The sequence below is a fragment of the Homo sapiens genome, chromosome 14 (assembly GCF_000001405.40).
Source record: "Homo sapiens chromosome 14, GRCh38.p14 Primary Assembly".
NCBI classification, from domain to species: Eukaryota; Metazoa; Chordata; class Mammalia; order Primates; family Hominidae; genus Homo; species Homo sapiens.
In genome coordinates this window covers 87,554,405-87,579,803 of record NC_000014.9, presented here as the reverse complement: position 1 = coordinate 87,579,803, position 25,399 = coordinate 87,554,405, and the positions used below count along the sequence as shown (strand labels likewise).

The window sequence follows — 25,399 nt, the reverse complement described above, 5'->3', positions numbered from 1 at the left end:
TTAATTAACTCATTATTAGGGAAATATTTAGCAGCATCTAAAAAGCATATCCGATGTGGCAGCAGCACAGCCTACACACAACAATCAGACTATGCCGCCCTTCATTGAATGTAGATCTCTAATTGTTTGGCATCATGTAGTCAAAAATCCCCTCTGTTTTATTTGAAGGTGGTCATTTTAATTTGGCTTACAAATTTTGCAAAGAAGGAGAAGTAAGCTATAGACATTGGTGTTTCCTATAGTGTCTTTTTGGACCTTGTATTATTTCTGCAGCACAGTGTTTGTCTGTTTATAACCCCTCCAAACAGAGTCTTTAAGGGCAGGCATAATGTCTCATCTACTTTTGTTTGTCTAATGCTGAGCATATGACAGCATAATATGTGGTACAGAAAACCACATTTAATGTTGTTAAACGCTTGTTTAATGTTGCTGAATGTTTCTGGGTCATTCAGTGAGATGTTGCATTTTCCTGAAAATTCCTTGAACTCCCAGAGAGATACACATCAAGAGGTGACCAAAGTCTTCTTCCAAGAAGATTTTTATTGGTTTGTATTATACAACAAAAAGTGGACAATTCAGACGTGCTCTGAGAAAGGCTGGGGCATGTGCCAAAGTGATGTGTGTGTTCTCTGTGGAGCTTGATTTCTTTAGCTGGGGAACCAGAAGCCACTCAATGATCTCCAGATTAAACTACTATTTCTCATAGTATGAGAGTATTTTTAATGCTTAATAACAAATAGCATTTTAGTTTGAACTCTATAAGGCAAGAGGCTTACATGAAATGAACAAGTACAAGCAGACATGAAGGAGAAGAGTGACTACCTGCATTATGTGTGTGCAGTTCAGCAGAAATGATGCTCTGAGTGAATCTTAAATAGTCTAACAAAGTGAAATCCCCTCGGCTCATCAGTGAAGCCTGTGAATATGATAATCTATGTGTGACAGAAGCCTTCACAGCTACTCCTTTGCAGTGCAATCTGACTTGGGGATTTTTTGTTGTTGTTGCTATAGGGCTCACCGGACTCTCCATAAGGCATGAAAGAGAAAAGTTTGAAACTGATTTGCCACAAATAACTCTTTAGATGCTGGTTTCTGTTGCATTTAGGTCTTGATGTAGGTATAAGGAGTGGGCAGTGGGTTTTCATTTGGAGAACAAACTTGATTTTAAGCTCATCCTATGGGCCATTCCTGTCTCATGCACAATACTGTACACTCACACCAAACTGAAGATTCTGATGTGAACATCTTTGCAAAAGATTTCAGGCCACTGATTTGACAGGTCCGATCACATGTGGCTTGTGGTTGGCCCTGACTGCAGTTGTGCAAGACAGGTGGAATGGTATTGTGGAAGGAGCAGAAAGACCATGGGCTTTGGAAGTCACCAGAGTGGGCTCAAATCCTGGCTCTGCCACTTTCTAGGACTTTGACCTAGGTCAGGTGATATAATCTTTCTGACCCCTGGTAGAATTCTTGTGAAGATAAAATGATCCTCATACGATGAGGATTAAAATCGTGCATAAAAAGAGTCTGGCTCGAAAACAGAGGAGAGTCAATAGATGGCAGCTTCTATTACTATTATTCAATTTTGACTTCATGAATTGTTTTCACCTGTTTTCTGTGGCCCTAACACTGTAGATGCAATCACATGTCTGGCCCCTTCACACACTGGAATCATTGACATGACAAGATGCTCAGCACCTTAGCTTTTATGTGTCTGGGGTCTTTCCTCTAGGCTGGATCACGTAATAGGCTTTTGTTCTTCACTCATGTTAGAACCCCCCTCTGTCGAAGGATTATACAGCCCTACCTTGTTTAATGCGTGTATGGCCATGTGACTTACTTTGGCCTGTGCAACAGAAGCAAAAGTGGTGTGTCATAGCTAGGCAGAGCCTCTAACATGTTGGGTACCATTTTCTCTCTGCTTCTGCAACCACAGAGCTATGGCAGGATGGATCTTCCCAAGACCTGAGTCCCTGAGTGACTGTGATGAACAGAGATTTATTGTCTACTACAATAGACATAGTGTGAGTGAGAGGTAAACCTTACCATTGTAAGCCAAGAGATTTTTGAGTTATTTGTCATGACAGTATAACCGAGCTCTTCCTGATTGCTACAGGGCTTCTCTCTCAATTCCAGCTCTGAGTTAGAGTTCTCTTCGTCTGCCAACAACTCCATCAACCCGTGTGGACCTTCACTTCCTGTGAAGTGGCTCTGTCTATCCAGTGGGTCATCAGATGCATACAGGATGACCACAAGCTGGTGCTTATGTCAGATCCAAGCTTACTCCGTCTGTTCTCTCCTGCCACTTAATGCTCTTGGACTCTAAGCTGCTCAAACTTGTACCTGGAATTATAATACATAGACATAAAATAAAGCCCACGCTGGGAAAGGTGGTTCTGAGATACTTCAGTTCTCTACTTACCCTTCCTTTCCTCCCTCTCGTTCTGTTTCACTTGCTGCTCAAACTCATCATGCACACATAGCTCCACAGGGAGGGAATTGGGCTGAAGCAAACAAGGACTTGGGCTATGTCCATCCCTGTCTGCCTCTAGAGCTGTCTGTCTGTCTTCCTGATGCTCTCAGGATCACTTCCTCTCCACATGTAGCTTCAGCGCTGCTCCCCAGTGGCAGGACTTAGGTCTGGGAGATCTGAGCAGCTGCTGCCTTATGTTTTGGATTTGGCATTGTCTGCCTGCCTCTCCTAGAGCCGCTGTGGGCTTCTGTTCTGTTCCTCAGCTCCCTTCTGGCTTGGAACCAGTATCCTGGACCCTTCTGGGATGGAGCCTGCTTTACTCTCGCAGCCCCAAAGATTATAACCAATATCCAGAGCTGAGCTTACTTACCTGAACTCTGTCACTTCCTCACGTTGCTTAATTAGTAAAAAAAAAAAAACAGAAGCCATCTTGAGCCAAAAAGGACTTACTGGTGTCTTAGCCCATGTGAGCTGTTACAAAAATGTACCACAGACTGGATGACTTATAAACAACAGAAATCTATTTCTCATGGTTCTGGAGGCTGGGAAGTCTGAGCTCAGGCTGCCAGCATGGTTGGGTTCTGGTGAGGGCCCTCTTCCAGGTTGCAGATGGTCAAATTCTTGTTGTTCCCTCACATGATGGAAAGAGAAAAATAAATCTTATCTCTCAGCTTTTTTTTTTTTTTTTAGATGGAGTCTTGCTCAGTCACCCGGGCTGGAGTGTAGTAGCGTGATCTCAGTTCACTGCAATCTCTGCTTCCCAGGTTCAAGTGATTCTCCTGCCTCTGCCTCCCAAGTAGCTGGGATTTATAGGCGTCTGCCACCATGCCTAGCAAATTTTCATATTTCAGTATTTCATATTTCAAATTTCATATTTCAGTAGAGACAGGGTTTCACCATGTTGGCCATGTCTGGTCTCGAACTCCTGACTTCAAGTAATCCTCCTGTCTCAGCCTCCCAAAGTACTGGGATTACAGATGTGAACCAAGTGCGCCTGGCCTCCTCCTGTTTTTATAATTTAAGGGCACTAAATCCACCATGAGGGCTCCATCTTGAGAACTTAATCTAGCTCTAATTACCATCTAAAGGCCCAACCTCCAAATATCATCGTACTGATGATTGGGGTTTTAACATACAAATTTTTGGGGCATACACACATTTTGTCCTCACAGTGTGAGACTAAAATCCTGGAAATAGAAAAGGAAGGTCTTTAGAATATGAGCAAGAGAGGCAGCTTCTAGGACCAGTGGCTCTCTCTGTATCAGCCTCAGGCCCCTTACAGTTTCTCTCATAGGATCTCTGTGTTTCAGCTACCTGTTGTTCTATAACTAACTACCCCAAAAAATATTGGTTTCAAGAAACACAAATGTTTGATTTCTCATGATTCTTAACCAGGCACTTCCTCCATCTCATGTAGTGTCAGTTGATGCCCTAGGATGGCTGGGAAATTCAAAATGTCCTCCACTGGATGAATGGCTGCCAGCCTGGTGCTCCGATGGGTCTGTTGGCAGTGGCTTTGGTTCTTGTCTGTGTGCCATTCCTTTTCCTCTTTACTGGTTATCCATAGACTGTTTCATGGGGATGCCTTTACAGTTGGCACTCGAGTTAGGGAGGCTTCTAGGGTTCTAGTTGCATCCGCCACTATACAAGCGCTCTGAGAGGGGAAAGGAGCCATGATTCCTGTTTTCGATAGCGCCTGTTTTGTCATGATTGCATGATTGCCTTCACTGTGAGCAGACAGGTGCCGTTTCCCATTTTGCCTCTGCTGGGTCAATTACAGTGATTTCAAAGGACACTAATGGATCTGACAAGTCTCATTGGAAAGAAAATTCCTCCAGATTAACAATAAATTGATCTGATTACCTAATTCTAGTATCATTCAGAAGAAAAATGCAAGGCTGAGGTGAAGTGGCAATCTTTATTCATATCAATCTGGGATAAAATGGAGAGTGTGGGGGAAGCTGGAGGCAAGGAATGAAAAACCTCCGCACTCTGAAAGCCAAAAAAAACCCCCCAAAACTGTATTTCAAGATGTTTCCATTTAGAGATGGGCAGGACAGGTATTTAAGGAATATTAAGCATATTCCAGGCTTATTGATTTACCTTTTTGTAACATGCAAAGGTCATAAGACCTTACTGTTTGGAACACAGGTAGGCTGTGACTTTGCTTTCCTGTTGTTAAAATTATTTTAGAGCAAGAGATACGTTCAAATTTTGTAAGCCTAGTGAAGATCAACAGAAGAATAGTAAATTCTTGCTGTGACTTTGCAGTACACTTGACATGTGTGTTAATAATGCCACCTGGCAATAATAGTGGAAGGATAATAGATTCATTTAGCAACAGATACCACTCTGGATAACTGTTGGTTTTGGTGCATTACCTCCACCATAAAGACTTCCCTGACCCAGACAGACAGTTACTGCTTTCTTCCCTTTTTCTCTTATAGTGCCCTGGATATACTTCTATTTAGAGAATTCTGAAATCTGTTTAATCTAATATTTACTTAATCTTTATTGGATGTTGCATTATGTGCTGAAGTGCACTGGCAGTGAATTAATTCATTGTCACCATCCTACTGCTTTACTTTAAGATCTTACCACTCTTTCTTGAACTATTGTACTCACAACCATAATCTTTATTCCCAAGAAATTTATAGTCTGGTAAGAGATTGTCACAGAAACTGTTGGTTAAATTCCATGCAGGCGTTACTTTACTTCTCTGCTGGAAGATGCCAATTTTGTTCTGATGGCTCCTCCTTTATCGCATGACTTAGACGAGCCTAAACTCGTACTGGTAAATGAGTGATTGGTTTGCTGAGGTTTTGTGATTCAGTGCCAGCCAAGGAAATATTGGTCAAGTTGGCTGCAGAGGCTTCTGGGAAATGTTTTCTCATTGAGCTAAAGAAACCCACAGAAATGCAAGATATTTTTATTTTTGAATTGTGTGCCTGGAAATGCAATATTCACTTGCTCTCCAGAGGAGAGCTTGCCTTCAGATAAGCCAACAGGGTAGCAAAAATGTGGAAATAATCTGGGTTCTTGATGCTACCTTTAAGTTGTTCAAATGATCCAGACTGGAGGTACCCTACCATGGAATATCTGTTATGGTGCATGATAAATATCCTGATATTCAAGCCAGCTATTGATTGATTGCTTTCTTACTAATGCAGAGGCATACAGATAAAAAGTACATTTACCGCAACAGTAAGGCAGAGTATGGGAAGCAAAAAAAAGGGAGGTATAAAGTACTATGAGAATTCAGGAGAGGGAGGGAATACGGTCTACTGGGGTGAGGAGAGGTAATCAGAAAATCAGACTGACAGCATAAGCCACACACAGACAACACATTTAGACCATAGGAACTTTTTGGTATGTGTATGGATTACAGAATGTTTAAAATTTAAGCCAGGTATCAAAAACTCATGATCCTTCCTGTAAAAGTTAATATTTATTTTTTCATGCTTTATTTCAGTGCTCACCTAGCAACACTGGCTGTGGCTGAGGAGTGGTGTTCCTCTACACAGAGCCTGGGCTTTCCTCCAGACTTGCTGCCCTCTTGCAAGCCCCCTGCCTGATGTCACCTGCCTGATGCTGGTGCTTTTCGACTGCTGTATCTATGAAGGGAGAAGCATTTGCTGCTGAAACACTTGAGAGTAAAGTTTAGCAGAGTAAGAGAGACATAAATCTAGAGGTTTGGGATAGTTTTTTTTTTAAAGGATGTATCATTCGTTTATTTTAAAAAGTCTAAGAAGAAAAGAGGAGAGCAGTGGGTACATTCGAGAGCATTTGAGGGTTAGAAAAGATTTACATCTTAGGAATGAGGATCCTTGAGCTTGTTTCCAAGTTCATGGTGTTTTGAGTGTGGCAAGACTTTTTAATAATATGAATGATGCCCATGGAATCTTCTGTAACATTCAATCGACGGGAATCCCGAAGTACTATATATCCCAGATCTTTATTTTCCCAAACACATTGGAGTATGAAGGACATGTTGTGAATGACAGAATTCTGTCATTATATTTAATTTACTATCAAATTTACCTACTAAAGTGGAGGACTGATTAAGATAAATACAGACAATGATCTCATCCTGGAAGGAATTACTATGGAAAAATAATTTGACAAGAAGATCCACTTTTTATCTGAACAATAAAACATATCAATTTCTCAAAACCTCTTATGTTTGGCCAGTTCATCTGGTGAGAGAATGGAAAAAGGGAGACATTCATCAATTTTACAACCTGCAGTCCATCCTCAGACCAAATCAGGAAGAAGAGTGCATGGAGAAAACATTTGGGAAGAAAAGGTATTTTCAAAACATCTGGAGCAAGAGACAAATCCCATCAGCTCAGTTCCAACAATATATGCAGGTAAGATTTTGTTCTTGAAAAATCTTCAATTGCCCCCATTACCTCTAAACCTTTTACCTCTGGCCAGCAGTAGCAAATTAGAATTAATAATGTGGCTTTTGAAAAAGCAACAGTGATGTAATTATTGTATCAGCATAAGGTTAATGATTTTTAAAATGGAAAGGCTAGTGATGTGCTTAGAATTTTTTAAAAATCGAAGAAATTATCTCAATTGAATTTGCCTCCTTCTGCTTGTTCTTCAGGTAATAAGGTTGAGTGAAGAGTTAACATTGCTGCAAGTAGGATTATCTGCAAAAACATTAAGCCAGTCTTGACTTGCTTAACAGATAAAATTCAGCCAGAAAATGAAAATAGGGGGTGAATGTTTGTGTGGGAAACACAGGAGCCTAGTTTAGCACTCTACCCAAATGCGTTGAAGATGCTGCTGAATGTTTCATTTGGGATACCAATCTAGCTACAAGTATCTGGAAGAATCAAAAAATGTTTTCCAAAGTTAATACATAGGCGTGAAAACCAAAGAGCAGACCCAATGCACAACTCAGTCCCGCTAAAGGCCTGTGAGACCTCTCATGGTTGAATACTCAGAAATTTTTAAGTAACTGGTATTCTCCATAAACAAAAATAAAGATGGTAATATAATACACCATTTTTCTAACAAGATTCTACTGGTTAGAAAAATGGTGTAAATGTATAGGCTAGTCTAGGCATTGATGGACTGCAGCAGGTATTCAGAACACTGGTGATGTTTGAGAGGCATATTGGGGAACATGGCAGCAGATTTCTGGACATGTCTCCCATTTTTATCTCTTATTAAATGTATGACCATGAGTACTTTACTTAACGTTTTGGTGGCTCAGTGTTCTCATTGGTAAAATATGGCTATAAATAGTACTTTGTGGGTTATTTGGAGGGACAAAGGTGATAACATATTTAAAATGCTTAGTCCTGTGCATCACCCGTTCATATATTCAGCAGACAATATGCTGAAAGTGCTCATTAAATATTAGATATTGGCTGGGCGCGATGGCTCACACCTGTAATCCCAGTGCTTTGGGAGGCCAAGGCGAGTAGATCACGTGAAGTCAGGAGTTCGAAACCAGCCTGGCAAACATGGTGAAACCCCTGTCTCTACTAAAAAAAAAAAAAGAAATGCAAAAATTAGCCGGGCATGGTGGCATGTGCCTGTACTCCCAGCTACTCAGGAGGCTGAGGCACGAGAATCACTTGAAACCAGGAGGTGGAGGTTGCAGTGAGCTGAGATCGCACCACTGCACTCCAGCCTGGGTGACAGAGCGAGACTCTGTCTCAAAAAAAAAAAAAAAAAAAAAAGAAAAAAATAGATATTACTGTAAAGATATTTTGTATTTGCATGTTTTACTGACATGTACTTTGAGACTATCAAAAAATCTACAAAATTAGGGGGAAGAGGAAATTCAAAATTTACAAAAATATCTATTTCTTAAAGAAAATTTTGCATAGGAGAGGATTAATAATTTTCTGTTAAAGAAATATATAAATATATTAATTAGTGAATCTCAGTTATCTGGCTCTGTGTATAGGTAAGGAAAAATAGATAAATTGATCTGACAGTTATTTGAATATAATAATGCCATGTTAATGTAAAAATAAAACAGCGTTTAAATGCTATTTTACAACCAGGAGTATCATTAAATATCTTTATATTTTATGCATCACAATGCAATCTATGCACATTTGAGAAATATTAGTATCTTTATGCACAAGGCATTTTTTTACTCAGTGAGGGATATTTATTAAGAGTGTGTGCTCAAGTGTCAGGTGGCTGGTTGGTGACACAAGACAAGTTTCTACCTCTGAGAATTTCCTCATCTGTAAAATAGGTAATAAGACCCACCACCTAGGTTTGTGCTTAGGGTTAAACGAAATAATCAAGGCACACCATTAATACACTTCTAGATACATAGCAAGAGTGTGATACCTATGATTAATATTGCCATTGTCAATATTATTATAGACAATGCATGGTGTACATGTGTATTACAGAGCTGTGCACATGAATTCTGCCACCTTTTAAGAGCTCTCAGTCCCCCAGGTTGGGACTGAAATGTTTTGGGTTTGAATTCTGGGTCTTTTTACACTTGTCAGCAACAAGACCTCACTTGCCAGGGGGGTTGACCAGTAAGCAGTTTTTGAATAACAAACTATCCCAACATTTAGTGTCTTAATGGGACAAACATTTATCATTCCTTATGCTTCTATGGGTTGCTTATTGGTTCTTCTGGTTTGGACAAGCTTGGCTGGGGCTCAGTAGTCTAGGATCACCTCACTTGTATGTCTGCACCCTCAGATGGAACAACTGGACACCTGGAATGGCCATTAATTCTCTTGACATGGTTTTCCAGCTACCTCTAGGAGGACAGCCCATGCTTGTTCACCTCGTTGTGGAAGGGGTCCCACAGCAAGAAAGAAACAGGCCCAATGTTCAAGAGCTTTTAAAGCTAATTGCTTTACGTTTGCTAATGTCCCAGGGCTAAGGCAAATCACACGGCCATACCCAGATTTTAGAGGTGGAAAAAAAGGCTCAATTTTTCTGATTGGAGGAGCTGCAAAGTCATATTGCAAAGGAGCATGCAAATAAGGGTGGGATAATTTTGTGGCCACTTTGCAATTTACTACAGAAAGTAATTTAATATTTTGAGTCAGAATTTTCCAAGCTTATTCTCTTCCATTCAAACAAAACTTCAGATATTTCGTATGATTATTATTTGTTGGTTTTAAGAATATTTGGGATCTCTTATGAAAACAAGTATTAAATTCAATTTCAATTTAAGACCACTAAATTCCTTGTTATATTCCCCATTTTTTTAATATGAACATGGTGAAATGTTTTTCCATATATGTGCAAGACAGAGCAGATACATTTTAGATATAAGCAAAAGAACAGGCAATATGATAATACTTTTTTAGTTTATACTTCCTAGTACATCAGTACTTTCACCCTCTATTATACAAGTCACATTTGTTGTCTCATATTTATTAGTTATCTCTGCAACTGGACCAGCATCCCTGGTAGAATGCATTATGACTCCAGATCCTCACCTCTCTCTGCATCCATGTTCTTGACATGTTCTTATGGGTGTCATTATGAGCAGAGTATATTTCTCTGCCCTTTGATTTTGGACTTGGCCATGTGACAATATTTGGCCAAAGGCATGTGGTTGGAAGTGACAGTACTTCAGTCTAAGATTTGACTTTAAGAGGTATATAGGCTTGTTCTCTTGAGTCTCTGTCATTATGATAAGAACACGTCTGGCAGCTAGCTGGTCCTAGATTAAGGATATGTGTGGAGCAAAGCCACCTCAGCTAACTCACAGACCTGTAAGGAGAAGTAGAGCCTCACCAGCCCCCAAAACTACCTTCCCTTGAGCAGTCTAATCCCAGCTCACTAAGACATTTGACCCAAAATAAATGAGTGATATTTTCAGCCACTGTGTTTTGGGGTGTTTTTTATGGAACAAGTGGAAATGGACACTAGCCTTTTGAGGTAGATTACTGCCCATAATAATAGATGGATACAGAGTAGGGTCTCAAGATGTATTTATTTGGTCCTTAAGTTTTGACATTCCATTAGCTTTCTGTTACTAACATGACAAAAAAATCTCAAATTTAGTGGCTTAAAACAACATAAATTGATTTTCTAATAGTTCTGTAGGTTAGAAATTTGACATGGTTTTCACTGGGTTAAAACTAAGGCATCATCAGAGCTGCTTTCCCTTCTGGAGGCTCTAGGGAAAAATCCATTTCCTTGCCTTCTCCAGCTTCTTCGGGCCACCTACATTCCTTGGCTCATGACACTCTTCTTTCATCTATGTTATGTGCTGAACATGTTCCCCAAAATTCATGTTGAAGTCACTAATCTCAGGACCTAAAAATGAAACCATATTTGGAGATAAAGTCTTTAAGAAGGTAGTTAATGAGGCTGTTAATGGTGGGGTCTTAAACCAGTGTGACTGGTGTCCTTATAAGAAGAGAAAGAGACGCTAGGGATGCATGTGCTCAGAGGAAAGGCCATGTGAAGACACAGCAAGAAGGTGGCCATCTGCAGGCCAAGGAGAGAGGCCTCAGGAGAAATCAAACCCACCAACATCTTGATCTTGGACATCTATCCTCTAGAACTGTGAAAAAATAAATCTCTGTTGTTTAAGACAGATATATTGTCATGGCAGCCCTAGCGAACTAAAACAATCCTCAAAGACTGCAATGGCATTTCTCTGGTTATTCTTATCTTAGCACCTCTCTTCAGCTGGGAAAGATTCACTGCTTTTAAAGTCTCCTATGATTATACTGGGCCCACCCAAATAATCCAGGATATCTTTGCATCTCAAAATATTTACCTCTAATGACATCCTCAAAGTCCCTTTGCCATGTAAAGCAACGTATTCATAGGTTCTTGTGATTAGGAGATAGGACACGGACATCTTTGGAGATGAGGGACATTATTCTACTGACCAGAGACATAGAAGGTAACATTGAGATTATATAATTCATAGTTCAATCGATAAAATTTTTAAAGAAATGAAGTAGTAATTTAGTTATTTTGAGAAAAAGAATATTGCAGTGAGAACAATTATTCAGTAAAGACAGTTTTTTTCCTTTCATTTTCTTATTTCCTAATTCTGAAGCCCAGGTTTAGTTAAAACTTGCCTTGCTCCTTATACACATTTTTTTTTGCCATTAAAGAGCTTTCCATACCAGCCCACTTTTTAGCATCTTGCCTGCTTTTGCAAGATTCCCTCTAGCTGTTTCTATCTGGTGACCCTGCCTCTCTACTGAGGAAAGTTATTAACAAAAGCTGTCAGCTGCACGAGGCTTTCATCCAATCTGTAAGTGAACACCACAGAAAAACCTCTGTGAATCTTTTTTTTTTTTTTTTTTTTTTTTGGAAAGCCTCACACTGCCAATGGAAAGTTAGAGAATGAATGGCATGGCATGCTTACTTTTTCATGATCTGGGTCTCAGAAGCTCTATTAAAAGTCTATTAAGTATTTTATCAGCTTCTGTTGGAGCCACAAATGATAACTTTGTGTGGGAATTCATTTTCTATACATGCCAATTATAATATCAGAAGTGTGCTGAGCTGAAGTCATATTTGCATTTGATGGCTAGGGCCAGCTGGAAAGCATTTTCCACTGTGAGTTAAGTGCCATGCGCATCTTTAAATTTAGATATTAAAACACACACCAAACACCCAGTGCTGGAAAGATGCAAACAAATAGCAAGCAAGAGACCCATTTTTGGCCAACTCACAATTGAACATCCAGTCACCAATTAAACAACTCTATTCGTGGTGAGGCACGAGGGCTGTCTTAGTTGGTCACAGCTTCTTTGTGCTCTGGTCAGAAAATCACTTGCCTATTCATATGACAACCTCTCACAGTTCAACACCTTAACATTCAGTTTTCGTATTCTGGAACAATTCCCCAAACACAAAGTGACAGTTGTTGTCCAGGTTATAAACACAGCCCCGAATCCATTATGACCTATTTTGCTGTTTCTTCTATGACTTCAGCTGATGTGCTGCCGAAAAGCCAGTGAAAGTTCTTCCACTTCTCAAGAATGTAATACTTCATGGCTCATTTGAAATTGAGTCAGCACAAAGTGAAGTTTTATGGCAGGATCCTAATGCAGTATCCTGGGTGGCATCTGGCAGTTTTCAAACTAAGCCAAATAAGTCAGGAACCGATGTTCCCCAGGGGCTTTTCCTAGTAGAGCTCAGTTTAAGCAGAAGGAGAGAAATGAGGACTTAAAAGTGTCATGAGTTTCATGCTAGAAGAATTTGGATTTACATTCTGTTATTTCAGCTGTCAAGTTCCTAACATAGATAAAGATCTTTTCAGTCACTCCATGAGACTTCTCTACGTGGGATAGGAATTTTTGCAAATTTAGAGAAAGCAACATTGACAGAATTTCCAGCAAATATTTCTAACACCCCAAATGGATGTAAACAATGAGTAAGAGGTGGGGGAGGTGTCTCTGAATACAAGTTTTGTCTGTTTCCAAATGCCCTGTTGTGTGATGTTCTGCAGAATTCATGGGTAAGCAAGAAAGGGAACAAATTCCTTTCTCTCCCAATGTTGTGCATTAAGAGAATACGTATTTTTACCCATAAACACATGAGGACTTATCAGCTGTGTTGGATCAGGAAATATGTCTTGAGAACTGGATATTGAAACAGAAATTTAAACGTGTTGTTCACCCCAGATTATCATTATACTTCTTTTGGCTACTGCTAAGGACTTCCACATCTAAGGGGAGTACTGGGATATGTGGCAGATTGCAGCTGTGCCTCCTTTATCTGTCTCTGTATCCACTCCTCTTGCTATGTGATTTTGAAGTTCCCCTCCTGAGAGAGGTGGAATCTAATTCCCTACCCCATATGTATTAAGCGGTTCTTGCATTGCTATAAAGAAATACCTGAGGCTGGGTAATTTATAAAGAAAAGAGGTTTAACTGGCTCATGACCCTGTGGGCTGTACAGGAAGCTGGCTCATGACTCTGTGGGCTGTACAGGAAGCAGAGCAGCATCTATTTCTGAGGAGGCGTCAGGAAGCTCCCAATCATAGCAGAAGGCAAAAAAGGAGCAGGCATATCATGTGATGAGAATGGGAGCAAAAGAGAGTGCAGGGAGGTGCCACACACTTTTGAAAGAACAGATATCATTTGAACTCAGAGCAGGGGCTCACTTACCACCAAGTGCTTGGCCCAAGCCCTTCACGAGGGATCCGCCCCACGATCAAAATACCTCTTACTAGTCCCCACCTCCAACACTGAGGATTTCAATTCAACATGAGATTTGGGTGGGGACAAATATCCCAATTATATCACCATGTGACTTGCTTCTGCCAATAAAATAAGGCATAGTCATGGCATGCTAGTTCTGAGCACAGGCCTCAGAAAGTCTTTGCATAATGTTGCTTTCCATTTTGTACTTTCGCTGTAGTCATGAGCCTTTGATTTACCTATACATGTGGGAGTGAGCTAACCAGCTCACAAACAGGATCAAGACAACTGAGGGCTGCTGAGCCCAGCCTAGATGAGTAGATCCCTCAGTGACCTCCAGACACATGAGCTATAATAGTAAAATATTATGTTTTAAACCACTCTGTTTTGTGCATTTTATTGAGCAGCACTTTTGTGGCAATAGCTCAATGATACTAAAATTTAACACTTATCATTCAATAGACATTCACTAAATGAATGGATGAATAAACATATATCCTGAATATTTTTGTATGTGTATGTACACAAATTTGTATAGACATAAACAAGTAAAATACATAGAACACACACACACAGATAAATACAAATGCATCTTTCCACTTGCATACAGAGGTAGACATTTTCCTGTTTAAATTTTAACATTTCCCTTTGAAAATTGGTTTGGGATTAATTGATTAGTTACAAAGTTCTCAGAGAATGAGAGACAAATCTACCTTGATCCAGGGCCCTACAGTTTGGTTGTGCAGCTGAATATGACTTCAGAAACCATGTAATTAATTTTCAAGTATTTTGTTGTTGACTGGCTCTCCACGTTATTAGTAGAATAAATAAAGTTTGCAAACAAGAAGACAGCAATATTAACCCGCCCCATGCAAAAAAGGAACACACAAAGTCTTCTAATTTCCTAGGTACTACTGTGACTTTAAAAAATAGAATGTCTATTGTAGGCAATTTGAAAACTGTGCTGTGAAAATGTTCAGAAAAAAATTTCTTCCGCATTAGTGCTATAATTGCACTTGAGGAGAATATAGAAGGATTAATTACTTTTGCTGTTCAATAGGAGTTTGATTCTGGTTTTCTAAGCTAACATTGGAAGTGAAACCTTGACTTGATAATGGTATTTAAGTTTTCTAATCAATTCCTGTCCCTAAACATATTCAGCATGGTGGTTCCTCAGATTGAAGAGAAGACACATCTTCCAGAAATTAAAAGAAATGATGATAAATAACTGATCAGATATCTTATTCATTAAGTATTTTTGAGTTTTAAAAATTTTCTTCTAGACTGCTGAATATTTAAAAAATATATATAGGTATACGAACATAGGATCTTTTTGTGTACCATATTTTGATCATCAGACACAATATAACTCTAACGTGGTACAAGGTACAATTTCTAGTGGGTGTTTAGAAAGCCACAGGGCTATGATTTTGAGATTAGCTGTGAAGGGACCTAGCAAACTAGCCAAAGCCTTGACCCCCCATCCTTAAGACGATAGATGTATTCATTTGTTTTCACACTGCTGATAAAGACATACCCGAGACTGGGAAGAAAAAGAGGTTTAATTGGACTTACAGTTTCACATGGCTGGGGAGGCCTCAGAAATATGGCAGGAGGTGAAAGGCACTTCTTACATGGTGGCGGCAAGAGAAAATGAGAGAGAAGCAAAAGCAGAAACCCCTGAGAAACCCATCAGATTTCCTGAGACTTATTCACTATCATGAGAGTAGCACAGGAAAGACCAGTCCCCATGATTCAATTACCTCTCCAAGGGTCCCTCCCACATCACGTGGGGATTCTGGAAGATACAATTCAAGTTGAGATTTGGGTGGGGACACAGCCAAACCATATCATTCTGCCTCTGGCCCCTCCAAATCTCATGTCCTCACATTTCAAAACCAATCATGCCTTCCCAGCAGTCCCCTAAAGTCTTAATTCATTTCAGCACTAACCCAAAAGTCCACAGTCCAAAGTCTCATCTGAGACAAGGCAAGTTCCTTTTGCCTATAAGCCTGTAAAATCAAAAGCAAGCTATTACTTCCTAGAGATAATGGGGATACAGGTATTGGGTAAATACAGCAGTTCCAAATGTGAGAAATTGGCCAAAATGAAGGGGATACAAGGCTCATGCAAGTTTTAAATCCAGTGGTTCAGTCACATTTTAAAGTTCCAAAATGATCTCCTTTGACTCTAGGTCTCATGTCCAGGTCATGCCAATACAAGAGGTGGGTTCCCATGGTCTTGGAGCAGCTCCATCTCTGTGCCTTTGCAGGGTACAACCTCCCTCCTGGTTGCTTTCATGGGCTGGTGTTGAGTTCCTGTGGCTTTTTCAGGTGCATGGTGCAAGCTTTCTGTGGATCTACCATTCTGGGGTCTGGAGGATAGTGGCCCTTTTCTCACAGCTCCACTAGACTGTGCCCCATTAGAGACTCTGTTGTGGGGGCTCTGACCCCACATTTCCCTTTCATGCTGCCCTAGCAGAGGTTCTCCATGAGGGCCCCACACCTGCTGCAAACTTTTGCCTGGGCATCCAGACATTTGCATACATCTTCTGAAATCTAGGTGGAGGTTCCCAAAGCTCAATTCTTGACTTCTGTGCACCTGCAGGCTCAATACCACGTGGAAGCTGCCAAGTCTTGGGGATTCCACCCTCTGAAGCCACAGCCCGAGCTGTATGTTGCCCCTTTTCAGCCATGGCTGGAGTGGCTGGGACACAGGGCATCAAGTCCCTAGGCTGTACAAAGCACTGGGACTCTGGGCCCGGCCCATGAAACCACTTTTTCATCCTTGGCTTCTGGGCCTATGATGGGAGGGGCTACCGTGAAAGTCTCTGACATGGCCTGGAGACATTTTCCCCATGGTCTTGGGGATTAACATTGGGCTCCTTGCTACTTATGTAAATTTGTGCAGCCAGATTAAATTTTTCCCCAGAAAATGGGTTTTTCTTTTCTATTTCATAGTCAGGCTGCAAATTTTCCAGGCTGTTATGCTCTGCTTCCCTTATAAAACTGAATGCCTTTAACATTACCCAAGTCATCTTGTGAATGCCTTGCTGCTTAGAAATTTCTTTCACCAGATACCCTAAATCATCTTTCTCAAGTTTAAAGTTGCACAAATCTCTAGGGCAGGGGCAAAATGTCACCAGTCTCTCTTTGCTAAAACATAACAAGACTCACCTTTACTCCAGTTCCCAACAAGTTCCTAATCTCCATCCGAGACCACCTCAGCTTGGACCTTATTGTCCATATCGCTATCAGCATTTTGGGCAAGGCCATTCAGCAAGTCTCTAGGAAGTTCCAAACTTTCCCACATTTTCCTGTCTTCTGAGCCCTCCAGACTTTTCCAGCCTCTGCCTGTTACCCAGTTCCAAAGTTGCTTCCATATTTGGGTAATTTTTCTGCAGTGCCCCACTCTACTGGTACTAATTTATAGTATTAGTTTGTTTTCATACTGCCAATAAAGACATACCCAAGACCAGGAAGGAAAAGAGGTTTAATTGGACTTACAGTTCCACATGGCTGGGGAGGTCTCAGAATCATGGTGGGGGTGAGAGGCACTTCTTACATGGTGGTGGCAAGAAAAAATGAGAGAGAAGCAAAAGCAGAAACCTCTGATAAACCCATCAGATCTCCTGAGACTTATTCACTATCATGAGAATAGCATGGGAAAGACCAGTCCCCATGATTCAATTACCTTCCCCTGGATCCCTCACACTACACATGGGAATTCTGGGAGATACAATTTAAGTTGAGATTTGGGTGGGGACACAGCCAAACTATATCAGTATACCATTAGTACTTTTCTTCATATGCATATTTTTAATAGAAGGAGAAGGTGTCACGTGAGCTAGAATTTGAGGAGACTATGCCATTGAATAATTGGCTATTGTGAGCTTCTAGGATTTGTCAAAAAAAAGTTGGATTATTGTTCATTTCAATAAGGTATCAAACTTCCCCCCCTGAGTTCTTATAAGATTCTAGGTTCCTCATTTTATGAGATTAAAAATAATTTGAATTTTCTATTAATGGCATATTTATTTTTTATTTTACCTATTTTATATATAAAATAATATCAGAAAAGTATGGGGCTATATGTTAGAGGAACATCAGGAATAGGAAAACATTCTCTATATTTTGATCTTATATCTGTACTACAATTGCTTTGTTCAACTGGATGATTGGAGGGTGAGAAATATTTAGGTCAATTATTGATGGGATGACCCAATAGATTGTATAACTGATTTGACTAATAACAGCATGATTTGAACAACAAAAAAGTCTGTTAATCATTTTATTTTTAGGGAAGTTTTGAATGCTAGGAATTATTCTGAAGACTGACTATGAGTGTAGGTTGCTTACTTGGTGAATTCAGAACTATTTCACCAAATCACAAATTTGATAGTGGTAGTGCACATTTTGGAGGATTTAAAAATGAATTTCCTTATATGATTATTTATGTTATCTTTCCCTTTATAGGATTTTTTTGTGTACATATGTATGTGTGCATGTACATGTGCTGAGAGATACATGTAGGAGTTTAATACACAGAATTTTCAGAAAGCATTGAAGAGACAGTCATCTAAAGTTTTAGATTCCAAACATAAACACATTTTATAGACAATGTATTGCTTTCAAGAAGTAGAATGGATATTCTTCTCTTGGGATTGCTTATTGATTTTCTTTAGTCTATAACAATATACAGTACCTTATTGCTTACTTTTAAGCAAATGCCAAATCAATAGTAGGTTATAGAAGTATACATTGAATGTGTGTATAAAGGTATAATCCAGAATACATGACATGGTCATAATGGGAACTTGTAGAAATGCTCAATTTAGATGATGTTTTTAATGGGTAAGAGCAAAGACATGAACAGAATGATCTTACGTTTCATCCTCAATGCCCAATACTTAAGTCATTTCTGTAATTTAACTTTCAAATAGAGAAGACTGGAGGCAATTGTGTTTTTTCAAGTTTTGTTATGGATAGTGGCCATGGTCAAATTTTGAGAGAGGAAGTTATTAATATTAATCACTAGTCCTGACCTTGATATCGACTTGTTTCTTTATGAAGGTTATTTAATCTTTCTAACTTTTAAGATGTAAAATAGAAAGGTATATATTTCTACCCACTTAATGACATATAATCTAAATCAAATAAGACAAATGCTTGGAAAATGTAAGATGTATAGGAACAAAAATATTTATTATCTTTTTCAGTGTTTTAACTTATTTGGAGAGGAAAACAACAGTTCCTAATGAAGAGAAATATTTAACCTTATTTATTGGCTTTGTGTGTGTGTATGTGTGTGTGTGTGTGTGTGTGTTTATGTGCATTTCATTTCTTTGAAAATCCCAAGTGGTTCTGATCCTCATTTTCCTGTATGACTTTTACACACTGTAAAGTATATTCTTTGTGAAGTGTGAAATTAATGGCTTATTTGTATAATGAGTGGCAATAAATGACTGTTATATAGACTTAATGTTGGTTTATTTTTTAAATGATGAAATATTGATTATAGCTACATAGTGGTACCTCTCTTTGTACATTTCACATTTATTATCTTATGTAATACAGCAACCACAAAAGTTGCATACAATAAGTATAATATTTTTTCAATAAAAGAAGAAACAAGCTCAGTGATGGCAAGCTGAAGTTGTATGATTACTAGGTATCTCGTAAGGATTAAAGATGAAACTAGGATTCCTAATTCTGTCTTCTACTGTCACACATTTATTTGGCATATGATGAGTCTGTGTCAGGACTGATCAATCATACAAAAGTGAATAAGCGGAGGCAGTGATACACTGATGGAGGAAGCAGGCATGAGAAAGATTTTAAAGAGTACAAACATTGCAATAGCTTTCTGAAGCCCATGTTAATAAAGTCCAGAAGATCTTTACTGAGAGAGTGATGCCTGAGGGGGTTCTTGAAGAATTCCAGGAATAAGAGGACAAACTTTGATTCTTCCTCCCTCACCCACACATCCAGTCCTGTCAACAAGTCCAATCAAGTCTGCTCCCCAAATATGTATGAGATCTAGGCACTTCTTGCCACCTCTACCCCATTGTTCTAGTCCAGGCCACTGTACATTCTGCCCTGGAGACTTTCCAACTGCTCTTTCAGACGCACTTTTATCATCCTCCATAGATGAGTCTTAACAACTATAGTGACGACAAAATGCATCAGGTCTTCACCCTCCATGTGATCCTTCAGTGGCTTTCTATCTGTCACTCGTAGAGTGTGGCTCTCATCTCTGTTATGCCTACAAAGCCCTGCACAATCTTATCCCTGCTGTCTGTACATCCTCAGGCAGATCTGTGTTCCTTCTTGCTCATTTCCCAACCAAGTTGTTTTCTTTCTATCCTTCCAAAATGCAAGACTAAATGTGATGGTTAATTTTTCTGTCAACTTGGATGGGCCACAGTGCTCAGATGTTTGATGAAGCATTATGCTGGCTGTTTCTGTCAAGGTGTTTTTTTGTATGAGATTAACATTTAAATTAGTAGAATTAGAGTAAAGCAGATTGCTCTCCATAATGTGGGAGAGCATCATCCAATCAGTGGAAGGCCTGAGTAGAGTGAAGGCTGACCTCTCCTGAGCAAGAAGCAATAGTGCCTGTAGACTGACTTTGGACTCGACGTGCAACTCTTCCCTGGGTCTCCAGCCTGTTGACCGACTCTGCAGATTGTAGACTTACTAAGTCTGCAATCATATGAACCAATTCCTTAAATAAATCTCTCTCTATGCACATCCTATTGGTTCTGTTTCTCTTGACAACCTTGACTTGACCCACAAGGCCTTTCACACCTGCTGTTCCCACTCTAGGAATCTCTTCTAGCTAACTCCTTCTCACCTCTAAGATTTCAGCTGGAACATCAGTTTTCAGAAACACTTTTTCTGACCTTCCAAATACAATGAGATTTCTTTCGTTTAAATTCCTTTTTATATCACTCTCTATTTTGCTTCACAGTACATGTGACAGTTTAAAGTCAAAGTCAAATATTTATGTCTGCAATTATTTAAATGTATGTCTCATGTTACAGCAGTTCCTTCTCCTCTGAACACTCAGAGCCTAACTTGATTCTGCAACACAGTGTCTCAACAAATACGCATTGATTGAATTAAATCGATGCAGGCTGAGGTGGGAGAATTACTTGAACCCAGGAGGGGGAGATTGCAGTGAGCCAAGATAACACCACTGCACTCCAAACCTGGTTGACAGAGCGAGACTCCTCTCCACAAAAAAAAAAAAAAAAAAAAAAAAAAAATTCAGTGCAAAAGTAGGCATGGCTGCCTAGGAAACAGCATTCTGGAGACAGCGTGATGAAATGCAGATTCTGGATTTATTACTTATTTTCATTGTGATCTCAGAGAAACCTCTTAAGCCTCATTTCCTCATATTTAAAGTGGTAATAATAGCAGTTCCTAAATCACAGTGTGTTATTATGACTAAAGAGGATATTATATGTAAAGGGCTTAGTAGAATGCCTAACATAGTGAGTGCTAAATAATATGCAAAGAAAAAGATCTGCCTTTTGCTAGGTGGTATGTGTGGGTTGGGCGTCAGGTAGCGGATATCACTCAAAAGTGAGTAACAGGAAGGACATTACAATCCACACCATTTCCACAATATTTCCCTTGATCTGGAGTTGTCAAGCATATAGTTCCTCAATTGATAGCACTGAATAAATACCTGGATTTCCCAAAATGAGATGATTAGGACCCATAGCTCTTCTAAATATTCCTAATTATCTTGGGAAGCCATCAATGCGCTGGGGGAATAAAAGAGCAGACCAGTAAGATGTGGGAGGAATGCTGATCACTAAATGGTCCCTGGCAACTCGTTCAATGTAACTCTCATTCTTCTGTAAAATAGTGATGATCATAGTATCTTCCTTCCTGATTTATTTCAAGGTTTCAATAAGAAGAAAATTAAAGTCTCTTTGCAAAAGTAAAATATGTTTGCTTTTGTGTTACCAAGATTACCCAATATCTGTTTGCTTAATATGTGCCTGCATTGTTCTAAATTGATGTCGGACATTCAGTTTAATGAATCCTCACCACAACCCAGTAAAGTAGGTTTATTATTGTACTTTGCATTCAAGAAAACTGAGACTGAGCCATATTTAGTGACTTGATCAAAATCACACAGCCAGCAAAGAACAGAACAAAGATTTTTTTTCTGGGGATAGGGGTGTGAGAGTCTGATGTCAGGGCTCACTTTGAAAACCACTGCTCTTGGCTGTGACTCTAGCTAACAGTTATTGGAATCTCACCATGATTTGGGCATTTTGCTAACTGCTTTACATTCATTTTTAAATTTAACCCACACAGCAATTTTATGATGTATTCTCACTAATTTCTAATTAAAAATTTATACCCCCGCATAGTGATATTTAGGAATATGATGATTAATTTTATGTGTCCATTTGACTGAACCACAGGTTGCCCAGATATTTGGAAAAATATTACTCTGGTGTGTCTGTGAGGATGTATGTGGATTAGAGGAACATTTGGATTGGTAGACTGAGTAAAAAAGATTGCCCTCCCTAATGCGGGCATACAGTCAGCTGAAGGTCTGAATAGAACAAGACTGACTCTTCCATATGTAAGACGGAATCCTTCCTGCCTGACTGCCTTCAAGCTGGACACCAACTTTTTTCTGCCTTTGTATTTGAACTAAACCATCAGGTCTCCTGTATCTCCAGCTTGCCTACTCACTCACCCTGCAGGTCGTGGGACTTAGCCTCCATAACCATCCAAGCTAATATTTTATAATAATTCTATTTCTACATATGTGGACATCCTAGTGGTTCTGTCTCCCTGGAGAACCCTGACTAATACCAGGAGTTTAAAAATCAAATAAGATGAGAAAGAGGACAATAATCTTGACTCTTTGAAAGATATATATAAATATATTTTACTTTAGAAAATACTCCAAATAATTTGGGCCATGTTTCTAGTATAATGTATATATTGATATAGATATATAAATATACATACATATGTACATATATAGCGACATACTTATATAAACATTATATATAAATATGTGTCTATATAGAACCATATAAGTAGAAACATATTCATTTATTTATATATAAATTGTGTCTAATAAAACTTCAGTGTTCTTCAAAATTTCTATGCCCCGTTCATATACATTAAAGTGAAAAATTTATACTTGGAAATCAAAGATGGCAAGTCCAGTTATGTGGTATTTATGTTTTATTTCATGTCATTTTCTATAAGGAGAAAGTCTAGTTGTTAATGCCAGTTTTCTTTTACTTTTATTTTTATACTTTTAAAAATTCTTTTTTTTTTTTTTGAAACAGTCTTGCTCTGTTGCCCAGAATAAAGTGCAGTGGCATGATGTCGGATCACTGCAACCTCCGCCTCCCAGGTTTAAGTGATTCTCATGCCTCAGCCACCTGGGTAGCTGGGATTACAGATGTGCACCACCACATCTGGCTAATTGTTGTATCTTTAGTATAGACGGTGTTTCCCCATGTGGGCCAGGCTGGTCTCGAACTCCTAGCTTCAAATGATTTGCCTGCCTTAGCCTCCCAAAGTGCTGGGATTACAGGTGTGAGCCTCTATGCCTGGCCAATGCCAATTTTTAATGTATAGTGTCAGTCATTATTATTTATTTAAATAATTGTAGAAGTCTTTAATTATTTTATTTTTAAATGTGTAAATATATTTATGGGGTAGAATGTGATGTGTGAATACCTGTATGCATTGTGGAAAGATCAAATTAGGGTACTTAGCATAGCCATCACCTCAAATACTTGCCATTTCTTTGTGGCAACGATGTTTAAAACCCTCTTTTCAGCAATTTGAAATATATGATATATTATTATTAACTATAATCATCTTACTGTGCAATAGAACACAGAAATTATTTCTCCGAAGTATAAATTTGTGCCACATCTCCCTTTTCCCTCTCCACTCCCTCAACCCCCTACCTCTGGTAACCATCATTCTATTCTCTACTTCCATGAGTTCCACATTTTTAGATCCCACATATAAGTGAGATTATACCGTATTTGTCTCTCTGTGCCTGCCTTATTTCACCTAATATACAATGCCCTCTAGGTTTACCCATGTTGCTGAAAATTACAGAATTTTCTGTTTGTTTTTTTTAAGGCTGAATAATATTCCACTGCAAGTATATGCCACATTTTTAAAATCCATTCATTCATTGATGTACATAGATTGTTTTTATACATTGGCTGTCATAAATAATGCTGCAATGAAAATGAGAATGCAGGCATTTCTTCATCATACTGATTTCAATTCCTTTTGGTATATTACCAGGAGTGGGATTGCTGATCAGATGGTAATTCTGTTTTTGTCTTTTTGTGCGGAACCTCCATACTGTTTTGCAAAATGGCTATAGTAATTTACAATACTGCCAAAAGTGTATAAGGCTTTCTTTTTCTTCACCTCCTTGCCAATACCTGTTATCTTTCATCTTTTTGATAATAGCAAATCTAACAAGTATGAGGTGATATCTTATTATGGTTTTAATTGCATTTCTCTGATAACTAGAAACATTGAGCATTTTAAAAATAAGTCTGTTCGCTATTTATATTTCTTTTGAGAAATGGCTTTTCAAATTCTTTGCTTTTTTTAATAGGTTTTTTTTCTTGTTACCGAGTAGTTTGTGTTCTTGTATATTTTGGATGGTATTCCCCTATCTGATATATGATTTGTAAATATTTTCTCCCACTCCATGAGTTGTCACTTCACTCTGTTAATTGTTTCCTTTGCTGTGCAGAAGCTTTTTAGTTTGCCGCAATCCAATTTGTCTTTGTTTCTATTGCCTGTGCTTTGAGGGTCATACCCAAGAAACCTCTGCCCAGGCTAATGTTGTGGAGATTTTCCCCTACGTTTTCTTCCAGTAGTTTTACAATTTTAGGTTTTATGTTTATGTTGTTATGCATTTTGAGTTGATTCTTGTGTAGAGGGGGTGAGAAAACGGTCAATTTTTTTTTCTTTCTTTCTTTTTTTTTTTTTTGAGACGGAGTCTGACTCTCGCCCAGGCTGGAGTGCAGTGGCGCTCTCTCGGTTTACTGCAAGCTCCGCCTCCCGGGTTTACGCCATTCTCCTGCCTCAGCCTCCGGAGTAGCTGGGACTACAGGCTCCCGCCACCATGCCCGGCTAATTTTTTGTATTTTAGTAGAGATGGGGTTACACCATGTTAGCCAGGATGGTCTCTATCTCCTGACCTCGTGATCCGCCCGCCTCGGCCTCCCAAAGTGCTGGGATTACAGGTGTGAGCCACCACGCCTGGCCAGAAAAGGGTCAATTTTTATTGTTTTTTTATCTGGATATCCAGTTTTTGCAACGCCAAAAGACTATCTTCCCATTGTGTGTTGTTGGCACCTGTATTAGTCAGGGTTCTCTAGAGAGACAGAACTAATAGGATATATGTATATATGAAAAGCAGTTTACTAAGTAGAATCGGCTCACATGATCACAAGGTGAATTCCCTCTATAGGCCATCTGCAAGCTGAGGAAGAAGGCAGTGGTGGCTTATACTGAGTCCAAAAGCCTCAAATGAAGGGAAGTTGACAGTGTAGCCTTTAGTTGTGGCTGAATGCTCGAGAGCCCCTGTCAAATCATTGGTGTAAGTCCAAGAGTCCAAAAATTGAAGAACCTGGAGTCTGATGTCCAAGAGCAAGAGGAACGGATGGAAGCATCCAGCATGGGAGAAAGATGAAAGCCGAAGACTCAAAACAAGCCAGCTTATCCTACCTTCTTCCACCTGCTTTGTAATAGCCACGCTGGCA

The 25,399-nt window shown here is 39.2% G+C and overlaps 1 long non-coding RNA gene across 1 annotated transcript in view; it reads left to right on the top strand.

The window, feature by feature from the left end:
• The window catches only part of LINC02296 (long intergenic non-protein coding RNA 2296), a 268,818-nt gene that overhangs the window by 33,660 nt on the left and 209,759 nt on the right, over positions 1-25,399 (top strand). Inside the window, exon 3 of the long non-coding RNA XR_007064294.1 lies at positions 5,946-6,843. This is a non-coding gene — a long non-coding RNA (long intergenic non-protein coding RNA 2296). The remainder of the gene's footprint in view (positions 1-5,945; positions 6,844-25,399) is intronic.